Consider the following 18,361-nt stretch of genomic DNA (forward strand, 5'->3'; position numbering starts at 1 on the left):
CTCTATCTCCCCGGTTCAAGCAATTCTCCTGCCTCAGCCTCCCGAGTAGCTGGGATTACAGGCGCCCGGCACCATGCCCAGCTAATTTTTGTATTTTTAGTAGAGACAGGGTTTCACCATGTTAGTCAGGCTGGTCTCGAACCCCTGACCTCAGGTGATCCAACCGCTTTGGCCTCCCAAAGTGCTGGGATTACAGGCATGAGCCACTTCACCTGGCCTGAAGTGTTAGTTTTATGTCTTTTTTTTTTTTTTTTAAAGAAAAGTAGTTCCCTTATCTCCACTTTCCCCCTTTCCAGCACCTCAGAGGCAACTGCTTTCAGCTGATTACTTTGACAGGCGTGACCTTATTTCCACATAATTGCTTATGTCATGATTTTTTTCTTTTTGAGATAGGTTCTTGCTCTGGGGCCCAGGAGGGAGCGCAGTGGCGCTCTTGTAGCTCACTACAACCTTGAACTCCTGGACTCAGATAATCCTCTGGCCTCAGTCTCCTGAGTAGCTGGGACTACAGGTACATGCTACCATGCCTGGCTAATTTATTTTCACAGAGACAAGGTCTCACTATGTTGCTTGGGCTGATCTCTAACTTCTAGGCTCAAGTGATCCTCCCGCCTCGGCCTCCCAAAGTGTTGGAATACAGGTATTGAAATCAAGTTTAGCCTAAAGCTGCCTCCTTATATATTTAAGTTTGGCCTAAAGGTTTGTCTGTATATCGTGACAAGTGGAGGTGTAAACAGACTACACTTGTGCCAATCACTGAGTTTTGGCCAATCAAATGTAGCCAACTGTTCAAACCACGTTCAGATAAGGCAAATGCCAAGCTGTAGCCAAGCCCAGCTGTTTCTGTACCTCACTTCCATTTTCTGTCCGCAAACCTTCCACCGTGTGACTGCGCTGGAGTGTCCGAGCCTACTCTGGCTGGGAAGGCTGCCCAATTCTTGAACTGTTTATTGCTCAATTAAACTCCTTTAAATTTAATTTGGCTGAAGTTTTTCTTTTATCACAGGTGTGAACCATCGTACCTGGCTGTCCTAAATTTTTAAAAACTATCATGCAAGTCATAGGTGCTTCCTCAAGACTGTCATTATCACGTACTTGTAGTATGCCCTTACTCAATTTTTATGGTTTTAATTTAAAAATTGGAAAAAGAATCTGCCTGCTCCACTCAGTGTAGTTCAGTTGTGTGCTGCTAACAACTGAACCATGGCATCTATTTTGAAACCATTTGGAAGAAATCACAGTACTTTGGTATCTTACTGAATATTCTTAGGTAGTTGGCTCCTGAACAACGTGGGGGTTAGAGGCTCTGAACCCTGTGCAGTAGAAAATCCGAGTATAACTTTTGACTCTCCCAAAACTTTACTAATGGCCTGCTGTTGACTGGAAGACTTACCATATCATAAACAGTTGATTAACACCTATTTTGCATGTTACCTCTATTACATGCTATATTCTTACAATACAGTAAGCTAGAGAACAAAATGTTACTAAAAATCATAAGGAAGAGACCATAGATTTACTATTAAGTAGAAGTGGATCATCATAAAAATCTTCATCCTCAACATTAGTTGGGTAGGCTCAGGAGGAGAAGAGGAGGGGGTTGGTCTTGCTGTCTTTTTTTTTTTGAGATGGAGTTTCGCTCTAGTTGCCTAGACTGGAGTGCAATGGTGTGATCTTAGCTCACTGCAACCTCCGTCTCCTGGGTTCAAGTGATTCTCCTGCCTCAGCCTCCCGAGTAGCTGGGATTACATGCGCCACCATGCCCGGCTAATTTTATATTTTTAGTAGAGACGGGGTTTCTCCATGTTGGTCAGGCTGGTCTCGAACTCCCGACCTCAGGTGATCCGTCCGCCTCGAACTCCCAAAGTGCTGAGATTACAGGCGTGAGCCACCACGCCCGGCCTTGGTCTTGCTGTCTTAAGTGTGGCAGAGGCAGAAGAAAATCTGTGTATAAGTGGACCTGTGCAATTCAAGGCCATGTTGTTCAAGGGTCAACGGTAGTTTTGAACTTCCCCCAAGCATTAGACTCAAAATAACCTGTGGAAAAGAATTTTGTCAACTCTAAAAATGCTGATAATTCAGCTGACCTTGTTTGTAATACCTGTCAATAAAGACTATACTATCTTGGGGTTTTCAGAGAAGAAGGAATCTTTTAGGACTGATAATTCACAGCCTGCTTGTGCTCTACTTCGGTTTTCTTTTGACCAGTAGACCAGACATGTTAAAAACAGAGGGAGTAAAATCACTGCACAAAATCTTACTCTGTCAGTGCCATGGAAGAACAGTTGATTTGGGGATCTACTCAGTCACTTGGAGACTAGTCACATAGTCAATTATAAATCTACCTAATCATATAGTTTTTTAGCCTATATTATCATTTTGTCCAAATCTTAAAAAAAAGTTATATTCCTTACCTATAGGCAAATATATCACTAAGTTTATTTCCTTATTGATAGGATTAAGTAATCAAGGAACGGGAATAGTCTAATTTTTCTGTTCTTGGTGATTCTGATACAGCTCCGATGACTGGAGGAACACCAGGGTCCTTGGTCTCGCGCTGACAGGATTGACATGGACACACATGGATTGGTTTTAAGAAGCAAAAAGTTTAATAGGCTAGAAAGAAGGAAAGAAGAAGAAAACAGCTCCCCTGTACAGAGATAAAGGGAGGAGGGATTCAAACAAAGAGAAAACCCTGTGTGCCGCAGAAAAGTGGCTGCTTATACTGGGATGCTGGAGGAGGCGGTGTCTGGTTTCCATAGGGCCCAGGGGATTGGTTAGACAGGTATGTCATTCACGTAGCCCGTGAAAAAACTGGCCCTCCCATCCTAGCCTTTTAACATGCAAATGCAGGGTGCCATGTCATTCTACACACATGGGGATATGTTGGGGCAAGGGAGAAGACTGAGGGAATCGCCATGTCTGGGTGGACCCAGTTTCTAATGGCCGGGATTTGCATAGCAAAGCTTGCCAGCCCAGCTCTAAGAGCAGGGGCTTTCCTGCTAGATAAATGTTTCTGGAGCTGCTTTAAAAGAAACAACTTCCCAAGGACCCCCTTTTCCTCTCTAGCTGCCTAAAATAATTTCTTAATAACTCCTATAACAATTCCATGTTGGGTTCTAATGGTCACCTTTTCCCCTTCTAGGCCACAGTCTAAGATGATTTTTTTTTTTTTTTTTTTTGAGATGGAGTTTAACTCTTTTTGCCCAGGCTGGAGTGCAATGGCACGATCTTCGCTCACTGCAACCTCCGCCTCCCGGGTTCAAGCAACTCTCCTGCCTCAGCCTCCCGAGTAGCTGGGATTACAGGCGTGTGCCACCACACCTGGCTAATTTTGTATTTTTAGTAGAGACAAGGCTTCGCCATGTTGGCCAGGCTGGTCTCAAACTCCTGAACTCTGGTGGCCTCCCAAAGTGCTGGGATTACAGGCATGAGCCACCGCGCCTGGCCTGTGTGTTTTGAGATTTATTATAGGAACTGGCTCATGTGAAATGATTATGGAGGCTGAGAAGACCCACAATCTGCCATCTGTAAGATGGATAACTAGGAAAGCCTGTGGTTTAATTCAGAGTGTGAAGGCCTGGGAACTTGGGGGGGTAGGGCTGATGGTGTAAGTTCTAGCTGAATGTGAAGCCCTGAGAACCAGGAGCACCAATGTCCAAGAAAAGGAGAAGATGGATGTCTCAGCAAAAAAAGAGTAGGCAAATTTGCCCTTCTTCCTCCCTTTTGTTCTGTTTGGGGCCTCAACAGATTGGATGATCACATTGGGAAGGCCATCTGCTTTACTAATTCACCAATTCAAATATTATTAATCTCTTCTGGAAACACCTTCACAGACACACCCAGAAACAATGTTTACCAGCTACTCAGACATCCTTTAGCCCAGTCAAGGTGACACACACAATTAAAAATCACAGATGGTTAAAAAAAATCACAGATGGGAAGAGTTAAGAGTATAGGCATGCTAATAAAAGCTTAAGTAATAATGATTGTATCCAGTGTTTATCTTTTCAGGCTAAAAGTTGTATTTTAGAATACAAAATGGGAAGGGCAGATAACTTTTGTGTGTGAATTTCCATCTCCCTACCATGGTAAAAATAATTTTAGCAAGACAATTTTAATGTTAATATTATAATAGACATGTAAGCACAACATTGTAGAATACAAAGAGAATTTTTTTTTCTTTTTTTAAGTGGGGCTTGGGAATTTTCATTTCACAGAGTCTTCTTGTTATCCAAGGCATTTTTAGAGGCCAGTCTTTCTAGTCATATTTGATAATGAGGAAGATGAAGTAATTGACTTCCCCAAAGTCACATAACAACTTCATGGCATAGCTGAGACTAGACTCCTGCGATTCAGATTCTCAGGCCATCAGTCTTTCTACAACAAAATAGTGATGCTTAAATACTTGAGATGCGTATCACAAAAAAGGGGATTATTAGAATGAAAACACTGATTAGGACAGAATAATTTAATGGCATTTTATTTCTGATAAACTCCTCTCTCTTCAGTTTTAACTATCTGAAAAAACTGTGGGCATGTGAGAGGCATGTGAACCAGAGCAACTCCATCTTGAATAGGAGCTGGGTAAAATGAGGCTGAAACCTATTGGGCTTGTAGTCCCAGATGGTTAAGGCACTGTAAGCCACAGGATGAGATAAGAGGTCAGCACAAAATACAGATCATAAAAACCTTGCCGATAAAACAGCTTGCAGAAAAGAAGCCGGACAAAACCCACCAAAACCAAGATGGCCACCGAGAGTGACCACTGGTCTTCCTCACTGCTACACTCCCAGCATCGCCGTGATAATTTACAAATGCCATGGCCAAGTCAGGAAGTTACCCTATATGGCCTAAAAGGGGGATGCACATCATCAAGAAATAACCATAAAAATGGGCAACCAGCAGCCCTCTGGGCTGCTCTGTCTGTGGAGTAGCCATTCTTCTATTCCTTTACTTTCCTAATAAACTTGCTTTCACTTTATTCTATGGACCTGCCCTGAATTCTTTCTTGCGTGAGATCCAAGAACCCTCTCTTGGGGTCTAGATTCGGACCCCTTTTCCTATAACATCATTCTGGCGACCAGTGAAGGGACTATAGTGAGGAAACCCCCGACCCAAAGGCTAACTTTGGGTAAGTGGTGGGGTCCTGTAACAGTCAGTCATAGATTTCTACCTTAAAAACCAGGTTCAAATGTGAGCAAGCAAGGTATGATAGATAAGGAATTTTTACAGCTTCAAAGTGTGACCTACCCAAAAGATCTTGCCTGTTAAGTATGATGAACTGCCAAGTTATTCTCTCCTCCTCCCAAGAGAAAAATCATTGTTAAATAGGAACAGACTGACACACAACAACATGTAGAAATTAGAATACTTTATTATAAATATTTTCAGAATATAAACTGATTTTGTATCAAGACTCTTTGAAACTTTAGAAACTTTATGTAACCTAAGATTATAATATATTTCATTTTCCACTTTCCAGCCTAGAAAATACACTGCAAGTTAGATCTAATAAAGGAGAAAAAAATTGCTTCACAGAGAAAAACCAATGAACATAAAATACCCAACTCAAAACTATAACAAACCCAATCAAGAAACAGATTGTGCAAAGGTCATTAATCCTCCAATTTAAAATAAATAACCTCCCAACAGAAAATATTTCCACCATCAAAGCAATTTGATGAATAAAAGCAGAGTCACTTTCATTAAAGGAAATTACACTATATGTTCAAAAAATGTAATAATGCTTTTAGAAAATGAGGAAAAGCAATTTCTGTGTTGGAGAGCAAGCATGCTAAACACTTTGTTTACTAGGCCTTTGTTAGAAGTTAAAGAACCTATTCACATAAGAAAAGTGGTATGAACACGGATATCATAAAACCAAGCTCTCACCTATTTTTTCAATTTAACTTTGGGAGAACCAACTTTGAAAGCTTCAAAATCCAAGAATAGACTGGTCCCAAAGCATTTCCTCCTCTGTCCTTTCTTGGCCTTGTTCCTTTTTCTTTTTTGTACGCTTACGTTCCTCTTTCTTAGAGACTACATCTCGGCTTTTTTTCTCCTTTCGATTCTTAAGCTTTTCTGTACTGACATGTACGGTTTCTATTTCCACCTCTGTTTTCTTTCTTTGGATGCTCTTGTGTTTGTCTAAGTCAATTTCCTCGCAGCTTTTTTTTCTCTTATGCTTAGACCGCTCCTCCTCTGATTTTTCTCTGCCTTCCTCTGGGTGCCTTTTCCTCTTCTGATGTATCTGTTTGTGACTGGCTTGATGAGTACTGGTACTGTTATCTGAGGAGAAGTGCTTGTAAACTCTATGTTCTACACCATGTGAGCCACAAATATATTCTTGTTGATTAAAGTTCAGGGGTACTGGTTTTTCTGAGAAACAGTCCCTCGTGAACTGACAGTAGCTCAGAGAGTCTAGTCTCAATCTGCTGTCATGGGCTGGTAACCACTGAGGCAACCGATTTTCCACTGTTTGTGGAATATTGCATGATCTTGGGTAGGTCTGGATGGTTTCAGATGGGAGTCTCTGGTCAAACATTCTATACGTGGGTCTGGAATTAACCTCTCCTTTGTACCCACAGGTTTCCAAATAGTCCCCTTTCATCTTTCTGAAACAAGTCTTTGGCTCTAAGCCTCTGGCTTTCTGTACTTTAATATAATCTTCAAGTTCATCTTGAAAAGAGTCATATGTCTTCTTTGAATGCTTCATTAGGTTGACAAAACGGGATTTTCTGCAAAAAAGGGAGAAAATTCTTACCAGATCATCTTGTCCTGAGCATTTCCTTTGCTCTTTTTTTTTTTTTTTTTTTTCTTGAGATGGCGTCTCGCCCTGTCGCCCAGACTAGAGTGCAGTGGGGTTGCTCTTGGGTCACTGCAACCTCTGCCTCTTGGGTTCAAGTGATTCTCCTGCCTCAGCCTCCCGAGTAGCTGGGATTACAGGTGTGTGCCACCACGCCCAGCTAATTTTTGTATTTTTAGTAGAGATGGGGTATCACCATGTTGACCAGGCTGGTCTCAAACTCCTGGCCACAAGTGATCCATCCACCTCAGCCTCCCAAAGTGCCAGGATTACAGGCATGAGCCACTGCACCTGGCCTCCTTTGCTCTTAAAAAGAGCTTTGAAAAACAAAGCAGCTCAAACAAATTACAACCTATTTCAGCATAAAAGCTGAGTATCTTGACATTATATGCCAAAGGGTAGCATCAGGATGGTCAGATACCTCCCAGGTCACGTACCAGTAACTTTACCCTTCTCAGAAGTGAGACGAAGAGGGCAGAAAGGAACCGATACACATGTTGCTGTCATAGGGCTAAAATGTGAGATAAGCAGGGATGTGTGGATAGGAACCACACAACCACGGTGGGTGGCTGATATTAATGTTCAATTAATTTCTGAAGTTCTCATGAATTGGTTTCCTGTATATTAGTTTCTAAGAGAAGTAAAGGAACCACAGATACAGAATTTGATTTTTAAAATCTTCAGTTTACTCAAGATAAAATAAACGTACTCACCTGACGAGAGTACTGTAAGACTTAACAATAAAAGGATGTTTATAAAATTGATTGGGAATGCTGAAAATCAGAAATTCAGTTATAAGATGAAAACTACTTTTAGGTATCAGGTATGAGGGAAGATGAAAGCACAGAGTTCTGTATCTTCTGTGTAGGCTTGGATTTCATTCCACTACTTCTGATTGGTGAAAAAAGCATTCTAGAATGTCTTCTGGTTTGTTCTCTCTTAAAGTACTGGTGAGAGGAATAAGGGAAGAAACAGGGGTGAAAACTGAAAAGGGATAGGACTGATTTGGAGAAGAGTTTCAGAAGAAACTTGCAGTAGATACACCATTTTTGTTTGCTTGATTCTTTTTTGGGGGGAAGGGCAAGACTGTTCCTGATTCTTTTCCTCACCTCAAATCCTGAATAAATACAAATATAGCAGAAAATGTACTTACTATGAAATTATAATATTATATATATATAAAAAAATATATATATATATATTTTTTTTTTTGAGATGGAGTCTTGCCCTATCACCCAGGCTGGAGTTCAATGGCACGATCTCGTCTCACTGCAACCTCCGCCTCCAGGGTTCAAGTGATTCTCCTGCCTCAGCCTCCTGAGTAGTTAAGACTACAGGTGCACACCACCACGCCTGGCTAATTTTTGTATTTTTAGTAGAGATGCGGTTTCACCATGTTGGCCAGGCTGGTCTCCAACTCCTGACCTCAGGTGATCTGCCTGCCTCGGCCTCCCAAAGTGCTGGGATTACAGGTGTGAGCCACTGTGTCCCACCTGCCCTATATATTTTTGGTGATACAGTTTATCTCAAAAAATTAGGAGGGCATATATCCCATGTAGAACTGAACATTTCTTCAGCTCTCAGAAACAAGGCTTGTTTCTGCTAAAGGGAAGAAATGTTCAGTTCAACATGGGATATACTCCCTCCTAATTTTTTGAGACTAATGATCAGCCAGTTTTTCAAATTTGGAAATTTGAGGTTAAAAAGAAAATCTAAATGAAGCCTAATTTGGCAAGTTAGAAAATATAGTTCTTGTTCAACTTAAATAGTATACAAATTCTGACTAGAAAAATAATAAAAAATAATGTAACAAATACTTGCTTAAATATGGGCAAACTATTTTAACCTATACTTCAGAAAAGAATATATGCAAATGGCCAATAAGCACATGAAAAGATGTTTAAAAGCACTGATCAGCAAGTAAATGTGAATTAAAACCACAATGAGATACCACTATGCACTTACCAGAATGATTAAAATGAAAAAGATTGACAATACCAGTGCTGATAAGGATCTGGAACTCTCAAATATTGTTGATAGGAATGTAAAATGGTACAACCACTTGAAAAACAGTTTGGCAGTTTCTTAAGAAGTTAAACATACATTTACCCCATATGATGCAGTTATTCTACTTCTAGGTATTTCCTTAAAGGAAAAGGAGATACAGTCATGCACTGCATAATAATCTTTTGGTCAACAATGGACTGAATATATGATGGTGGTCCCATAAAATTATAGTGGAGCTGAAAAAGTCACAGTAATGTGAATAATGCACAATTCATTATTCATGTGTTTGTAGTGATGCTGGTATAAACGAATCTACTATACTGCCATATAAAAGTATAGCATACACTATGTACAGTACATAAGATTTGATAACTGGTTTATGATTTATTTACTATACTATATTTTAAATTATTTTAGAGTATATTCTTTCTCCTTATTAAAAAAAAAAGTTAACTGTAAAACAGCCTCAGGAAGGTCCTTCAGAAGGTATTCCAGAAGATGGCACCATAGGTGATGACAGCTCCATGCATGTTACTGCCCCTGAAGACCCCCCAGTGGGACAAGATGTGGAGGGAGAAGACAGTGATGATGATCCTGAACCCTGTGAAGGCTTAGGCTAATGTGTGTGTTTGTGTCTTAGCTTTTCATAAAAAAGTTTAACAAGTGAAAAAAAAAAATAGGGCCAGGTGTGGTGGCCCATGCCTGTAATCCCAGAACTTTGGGAGGCCAGGTGGGTGGATCACTTGAGGTCAGGAGTTCGAGACCAGCCTGGCCAATATCGTGAAACCCCGACTCTACTAAAAATACAAAAATTAGCTGGGCATGGTGGCGCATGTCTGTAATCCCAGCTGCTTGGGAGGCTGAGGCTGGAGAATCGCCTGAACCTAGGAGGCAGAGGTTGCGGTGAGCCGAGATCGTGCCACTGCACTCCAGCCTGGGCAACAGAGTGAGACTCCATCTCAAAAAAATAAAAAAATAAAAATAAAAAAAAAGTTAAGAATAAAATAGGAAAAGGCTAGGATAAAGATATAAAGAAATAAAATATTTTTGTGCAGCTGGACAATGTGTTTTAACCTAAGTGTGATTACAAAATAGTCAAAAAGTTAAAAAAATTTAAAAGTTTATAAAGTGAAAAAATTACAGTAAGCTAGGGTTAATTTATTACTAAAACAAGAAAAATTTTTAAAAATAAATTTAATGGGCTGGGTGTGGTGCCTCATGCCTGTAATCCCAGCACTTTGGGAGGCTGAAGTAGGCAGATCACCTGAGGTCAGGAGTTGGAGACCAGCCTGGCCGACATGGTGAAACCCCATCTCTAGTAATAATACAAAAATTAGCTGGGTGTGGTGTGGGCACCTGTAATCCCAGCTACTAGGGAGGCTGAGGCAGGAGAATTGCTTGAACCTGGGAGGCGGAGGGTGCAATAAGCCGAGATCGCGCCACTGCACTGTAGCCTGGGTGACAGAGTGATACTCTGTCTCAAAATTAATTAATTAATTAATTAATTTAATGTAGCCTAAGTTTACAGTATTTATAGTCTACAGCAGTGTACAGTAATATCTTAGGCCTTCCCATTAACTCACCACTCACTGACTCAGAGCAACTTGCAGTCCTGCAAGCTCCTCCATTCATGCTAAATGCCCCACACAAGTGTACTATTTTTTTATCTTTCATACCACATTTTTACTGTGTCTTTTTGTTTAGATAGGTTTAGATACACAAACACTTACTGTTGTGTTACAACTGTCTACAGTACTCAGTATAGTAACATGCTGTACAGATTTGTAGCCTAGGAGCAATAGGCTATATCATATAGCCTGGGTGTGTAGTAAGTTATACCATCAGTCTATGATGTTTGCCCAATGAGAAAATCATGACACATTTCTCAGAATGTATCCTGGTCGTTAACGGACACATGACTGGGTGTCTATACAAAGACATGAATGTTCATATAGTTTTATTTGTGATAGCCCCAGAAAGAAAAGAAACTCAAATGTCAATCAACAGGTGAATGGATTAAATCAAACAGTGGTATAACGATACAATGAAATACTATCAGTGATAAAAAGGAATAAATCATATTGATACACATGACGTGAGTGAATCTCAAAATAACGAAAATAATTGTAATTCTTTTTTACTATTTAAAATAGTGATACACTAGGCATAGTGGCTCATGCCTGTAATCCCAGCACTTTGGGAGGCTGAAGTGGCAGAACTGCTTGAGCTCAGAAGTTCAAGACCAACCTGGCCAACACAGCAAGAACCCATTTCTAAAAATAAATAAATAAAAAGTCATAGAAGTCTGATAAAAGAGTACATACGATATGATTCCATTTATATAAAACTCTAGAAAATGGAAACTATAATAACAGTGGTTGCTTGGGGAGAGAGGTGGGAAGAAAAGATTCTAAAGGGGCATTTTTTGGGCGGTGATGGGTATGTCCATTATCTTGATTGTGGTGATCCTTTCATGGCTATATACATCTGCCAAAACTTACCAAATTGTATACCTTAAATACATACAGTTTATTATATGCTAACTATACCTCAATAATGCTGTTTTTACAAAGTCACTAATGGCTGGGCGCGGTGGCTCAGGCCTGTAATCCCAGCACTTTGGGAGGCTGAGGCAGGCAGATCACCTGAGGTCAGGAGTTGGAGATCAGCCTGGCCAACATGGTGAAACCTCCGTCTCTACTAAAAATACAAAAAATTAGCCGGGTGTGGTGGCACATGCCTGTAGTCCCAGCTACTTGGGAGGCTGAGGCAGGAGAATTGCTTGAACCCGGGAGGTGGAGGTTGCAGTGAGCCAAGATTGCACCATTGCACTCCAGCCTGGGTGACAGAGAGAGACTCCGTCTCAAAAAAAAAAGTCACTAATAAGATTTAAAAGATGTTGATAATTGTTGAAATTGGGTGATGGATACATGAAGGTTCATTATACAATTTTCTTTATTTTTAAGTATGTTTGAAATTTTTTGGTAATAAAAAGATTTTACTTTACATCTACTAGGAGGGCTATAGTGAAAAAAAGATACTAGTAAGTGTTAGCAAGAATGTGGAAAAATTGGAAACTTCATTCATTGTTTGCGGGAATGTAAAATGGTGCACCTACTTTGGAAAATAACTTAGCAGCAGTTTCATCAATTCCACTTAGCAATTCCACCCATATATAGCCAAAAGAATGAAAACCTATGTCCATGCAAGAAGTTGTAAACAAATGTTCACAGCAGCACTATTCATTACAACTAAAAAGTAGAAATAACCAACCAATGCCCATCAACTGATAAATGGATAAACAAAATATGGTATATTCATATAATATTATTCAGCATAAAAAGGAATGAAGTACTGATATATGCTACAACACAAATGAAGCTTGAAGACATTATGCTATGTGAAAGAAGCCAGTTCCAAAGGACCACAGATGGCACAGAGATGAATAAAGAGGTGAATGGAACCTTACTTACCCTTATCAGGCTGAGAATTTGGTGGAGAAATCTGATCATATTCACTCAGTTTTTCAGCATGAATTTTCAAATAGTGAGACTACACAATAACTGGTGAGCTAAAAACCACAATTCAGAGATCAAAAATCAATTTTTGTCCAATTCTCCACTCTCACTCATCTGAAACCAAACACAATCTTGTTACAAAGATTAAATAATTCAAAGTTTATAATCACATCAACATAGACCAATCATCTGAAAATTCACAAAATTCACCTTCATTTTATTAATTTGCTTCTTATAAATCTGAAAATAAACCCTAACTTTTAAAAATGTTTAAACATACTTTATTTTTATAACAATATATTTTATATAGTTTTATTTTTAACTGACAAGTAATAATTGTATATATTTATGAAATACAATGTGATAGTTCAGTACATGTATATAGTGTGGAATAATCAAATTTGGTGAATTAGCATAGTCATTACTTCAAATGTTGATCATTTCTTTGCAACGTGAACACTTAAAATAATCTTTTACAGCTACTTTTAAAAATATTGAAATAATAAATACATTTTGAATATACATGAACTATAGTCACCTTCTTGTGCAATAGAACACCAGAACTTATTCCTCCTATCTACCTGTAACTTTGTACCCCTTGGCAAATGTCTTTCCTTTCTCTGTCCCCACTCCCCAACCCTACCACCCAGCCTCTGGTAACCACCATTCTACTCTCTACTTCCTTAAGTTTTTAGATTTCATGTATAAGTGAGATCATATGGTATTTGTCTCTCTGTGCTTGTAAAGCCCTAACTTTTTGAGCAATTTTTTTTTACCCTGGAATAATAAATAAGTTTTGTTTATTTAAGAAGAAATTACTCCAGATTTATTCTACCCTAGGTATATACCCCAAAGAACTATAAATTGAAAAGAACTATAAATTGAAAAAGCACTTGTGAGTTTTAATATATTTGGTCTGAACTAAAAGTTTACGAATAGAATTTCGCTTGCTTTCAAATCAAAGTATCAGCTTCAGTAGATAATCCTATGATTAGAATTACTTCTAACACAAAGTTTTATGTTTCTGTTTGTGACAGAGACTACCAGTTGCCTTCCAATACATTTTTTTCTTCTTCCTTAGTAACAAACCTTAGGAAATGTGTCTAGCTTTTAGTCTTTTAGACTACATTTTCTGGCCATTCTTAAAGCAAGATGTAGCCATGTGAATAATTCTGGTCAATAAGAAGAAAGCTGAAGTGTTGTGTAGGATTCTAGGAGGGATCCTCCCTTCTGCTGCTGAAATGAGGATGCCATGGTTAGAAATCAAACAGTCATCAGAGAACATGAGGAAGTAAGTCAGGGCCTTAGAATAAAAAGAAAATGTCTGGGTCCTCTCTGATGATCATGGAACTGTCCTAACAGCTTTGTACTGCCTAACTCCACACTCTTAAATGAGACAAGGAATAAACTGTTATGGGTTCAAGCCATAACAGAAAATAATCTCTGAATATATTTAAAGCCAACCATGTAAGAGTAACTAAAATGTAAATGTAGGGAAAAGGACACTAACATTTTCAGAACACAGTTATGAATGATGTATATTTTCTGTATTTTTCTACATTGAATATTACTTTATAATCCCATGAAAGTTATTTTTAAAATTTCAATGAAACTCAAGTTATCACAGAGCCCGCCCTTTGACTATTTCTTAGACCTCTGGGCTCTGAAGACTGAGCCCAAAATATACTAGACTAGAATACAGTAGATTAAGAATTAGGGCAAGACAGAGATTGTCACTTCCATTTTTCAGGTTGAATAAACATACTTAGAGAGGTCAAAGTGATTTGCTCAGCAATTAATGGTGGAGTCAAGGCTTGAATCCAAGTTCTCTCAATCCAAGGCTAAGACATGACTGTAATTATGGTACTTTAATCTCAACCATCACACATGAAATAAAATGCAGTTTCTGACATGATTATCAAGAGGGAAAACTAGATGAGTTCTCTAAAAAACCACAGCAGGCCTTATGTTTCATTTAAGTAAATGTATCTACTACTTTTGGTATCCCAGACACCACAGATTAAAGAGATCCAGTAGCTCATCCAGGTCTCAGAGCGTGAGAAGAGCAGAATGGGAAAAGCCATTGTAATGTAGTATACAAAAGACTATTCTTTCTCCAGGATACTATTATACAGCAAAGATGATACAAGTGAGGAGCTATACCATATAAAAGGAAGTAACACTGGACAGGGAATCAGATCTCATTTATTGGCTTAGTCATGCCCATGACTATCTAAAAATAATCACTACTCCTCCGGATCTCAGTTTCTTCATCTATAAACTAAGGAAGTACAATCATTAGACATTTTACCTTCCAATGCTAGCATTCTATAATCCTGTGCCTTGAAAACAAGGCAAAGTCAAGGGTAAGACTGCTGCATATTATGTTGTAACCTTTGATTAATTTGATTAGTAAAGGAAGACTCTGGGGATCTATAATATCTCTTGACTTATATTAATATTTTCCTGCTCAAGCTTCATAATATCTTCCTTATATTTACCACAAGAACTGATACAGTGGCTTTCTGGATAAGGTAGAAGACAGAATGGAGAAAGGAAAAGAAAATGAGCTTCAGAATTAGAAAGATCTGAATTTAAATCCTACTTCCCCAAATGTAAGTCAGGAAGTTATTTCCCTTTTCTGAGTCAGTCATCAAAAGGACAATACTTTTCTTGTATGGATTAAATAAGATGACATATATGAAGTTTACCCACTACATTTAAAAAGTGACATTAGGACATATTCCTTCTATTTTCAACCTACCTCATAATGCAAAATCCTTTGTTATTTGAACTGTAACACTACTCCACAGACATCTTTTATAAAAGGTATCTGTAAACAAAGTTCAGTCTTTGTTCATTCAATGTGGTATCTATCAATAAAAGAGAGGTAAGACAGAAGATTATATTAAATAGTTAAGGTAATATTTTTAAACTTCAACTACTATATTTCATATACCATCTCAAATCTTAATTTTCTGAGTGCTTGCAAGGCTAGAGTAATAAATTTTTGCTCATTAGAATAACAATTTTAATATGAAAATATTTAGTAAGACTGTAATATTTAATATATTAACATATTTTTTAGTCTACAAAACACCATCCTGAAGGAAAAGTTACTGGGGCACCAATATTGAAAGCCTGGGCTAAGAAATCCAGTCTTGGCATTTTATGTTTTAAAGCTAACAATCTCAAGAAATGCAGTCGATTTTAAGACAGCTAATGATTCTAGATACATCACCAATGTCATCTGAGAATCACATGGGGGAACCACAAACCATCTTTATTTTTTTTTTAAAACAGGGTCTGGCTCTGTCACCCAGGCCAGAGCGTGATTCTCCTGCCTCAGCTTCCTGAGTAGCTGGGAGTACAGGCGCATGTCACTGTACCTGGCTAATTTTTGTATTTTTTGTAGAGATGGGGTTTCGCCATGTTGCCCAGGCTGGTCTCGAACTCCCGCGCTCAGGTGATCCACCCGCCTTGGCCTCCCAAAGTTCTGGGATTACAGGCATGAGCCACTGAGCCCAGCCCACAGACTATCTTAACCTGTGGTAGGCAACCTTCTTCCATGGCTGGTACAAATACAACCACACAAATTTCACTGAATAGAGCTCAGACAAGCCCTTCAAAGCTACAGTCATATTCACATATTAGCTTCTACAACTTTTGCTGAAAGTGTTTCTCACTTAATGAATTATCTATGCCAAAATTACTACGTTTACACTTGGGGTCTATACTTCAATCTAAAGTTCCTAACAGCTAAAATTTATTTTATAGAAGTTTACCAGTTTATACATAGGGTGCCAATCATGTAACATCAAAATTGTACTTTCTACACGGCAGTTTAAATGGATGAGTTAGAATCATATGTAATGTCATGGAGAAATGCCCATGATATATTAACGGGAAAAACAATATGTAGAACTCAATCAATTGCTCAATCATAAAATCCAATTTTAGTATAAACAACCCAACATATACAACCCAAACTTAAGTATATACATATGTATTTACTGTAAGGAAGGAATTAATGCATTTGGCCTCCAATCCATTCACTTCCTTTCCTGGAGAAGAGGGAAAAAGACAAGGATGGTGACATCCAGACCTCAAGTAAAGAGCCTAATGATATTTGCTGGGAGGAAGACATCTTACCACTAAAATGCTCTTAGCAAGATGTCCCTGGCTAAAGATTAGCTGTAGTAAATAAACCCAGAATCTATGAGACATCTCTTTCTGAAGAATGCCACATAAGCTATACAACTCTCTAGGGTATAACATGGAGATGAGTCACAATTTAAACATTCCCACTGTGTGAGGTGATCTTGTGAATCTTACTTAGAAACCTTAACTATTTATTCTGGGCCAGAGATACATGTCCAAAGGGGAAAACATGGTGTATTGGTCTGTTCTTACACTGTTACAAAGACATAACAAAGACTGGGTAATTTATAAAGGAAAAAGGTTTAATTGACTCACAGTTTTGCACAGCTGGGGAGGCCTTAGGAAACTTACAGTCATGGTGGAAGGTGAAGGGGAAGCAAGGCACTTTCCTTTCAAGGTGGTAGGAAGGAGAAGTGCTGAGTGAAGTGAGAAAAGCCCCTTATAAAACCATCAGATTTCGGGAGAACTCACTATCATAAGAACAACATGGGGGAAACTGCCCCCGATTCAATTACCTCCACCTGGTCTCTCCTTGACATGTGGAGATTATGGGGATTACAATTCATTATGAGATTTGGGTGGGGACACAAAGCCTAACCATATTACATGGTCTGAGGAGCCATCCTTCATGTATTAGACACGCTGCTTCAGTTGAGTCTCTTGACTGCCTGTATCCTTGAAATAATTAGTAAACCTGATGCGTTTGATTTGACAGTCTGATCTTGTGTGTTAGCTCAGTATCCACAGAAAAAAATCTGAAAAGATATATGCTAAACTTAATGGGGTTTGAGAAATGGGAAATTGGGTCAAAAATGAGTAGGGTCAAACATTTAACATATTGCTCTTTGTACATCTCTGTATTAATTTTTGCAAAAAATATACAGGACTTTGTACTTTTAAAAATTCCATAAATATTTAAGTTATACTGGGTATCTTCAAACTAATCTTAATATTAATGCCAGTGTATGGGTTAAAAAGATTTGCTTAAAAATATTATGTGCTCAAGATAATTATAAATCAGAAACATTTTAGAAAGGACTTGAAGAGTATTAAAAATGTATCTCAGGCTGGGTGTGATGGCTCATGCCTGTAATCCCAGCATTTTGGGAGGCAGAGGCGGGCGGATTACTTGAGCCCAGGAGTTTGAGACCAGCCTGGCCAACATGGCAAAACCCTGTCTCTACTAAAAATACAAAAAATTAGCCGGGCATGTTGGCACATGCCTGTAATCCCAGCTATTCAGGAGGCTGAAGTACGAGAATCTCTTGAACCCAGGAGGTGGAAGGTGCAGTGAGCCAAGATTGCGCCACTGCGTTCCAGCCTGGGCGACAAAGTGAGACTGTCTCAGAAAATATATATATATTATATATAATATCTCAATTATTTTTTAGTTGTTTTAAAATAAAGGACTTAATTACATTTGACTCTAAGGTCAGCAAGGTAAAAAGGTTAATACAAAGGTTTTCAGAACTTCCCTTGACTCAGAATTATTGTACAAAAACTGACATGGTGATGTGATGGTGACTTTTCCATTAAAAATCTTGGTTTGGCGTAGTGCTTCGTGCCTGTAGTACCAACACTTTGGGAGGCTGAGCTGGGAGGATTGCTTGAGACCAGGAGTTTGAGACCAGCCTGGGCAACACATTGAGACATCTGTCTCTACAAAAATAAATCTTTAATAAGAACAGGTAAATACTGTCTTTTGGTGACAAACAAATCAGAATACATGGAAAGCTTACTGAGGACTAGTTATTTAGAAGCTCAAGATATCTTAAAATAGAACAATAATTTCCTTCCTGGTTCAACCCTTAATACCAACCAGGCATTTCTAAAAGGCAATGTTGTAAGCTGAGGTAAGAAACTTGGG

At 38.7% G+C, this 18,361-nt stretch overlaps 1 protein-coding gene across 3 annotated transcripts in view; it reads right to left on the reverse strand.

Moving 5' to 3' along the window:
• Positions 1–5,359: 5,359 nt before the first annotated feature.
• The window catches only part of KRCC1 (lysine rich coiled-coil 1), a 28,579-nt gene continuing 15,577 nt past the window's right edge, over positions 5,360–18,361 (reverse strand). For 2 of the 3 annotated variants that reach the window (NM_016618.3, XM_017004292.3), the window contains exons 2-4: positions 15,098–15,206; positions 12,289–12,447; positions 5,360–6,740 (exon numbers count right to left, since the gene is read on the reverse strand). In NM_016618.3, coding sequence (NP_057702.1) covers positions 5,939–6,718 — 780 coding nt within the window. In that variant the 5' untranslated portion in view covers positions 6,719–6,740; positions 12,289–12,447; positions 15,098–15,206 and the 3' untranslated portion in view covers positions 5,360–5,938. The remainder of the gene's footprint in view (positions 6,741–12,288; positions 12,448–15,097; positions 15,207–18,361) is intronic. The other variant, NM_001304526.2, reaches the window with a different exon arrangement.

Source organism: Homo sapiens, chromosome 2 (assembly GCF_000001405.40).
Source record: "Homo sapiens chromosome 2, GRCh38.p14 Primary Assembly".
Lineage (NCBI taxonomy): Eukaryota > Metazoa > Chordata > Mammalia > Primates > Hominidae > Homo > Homo sapiens.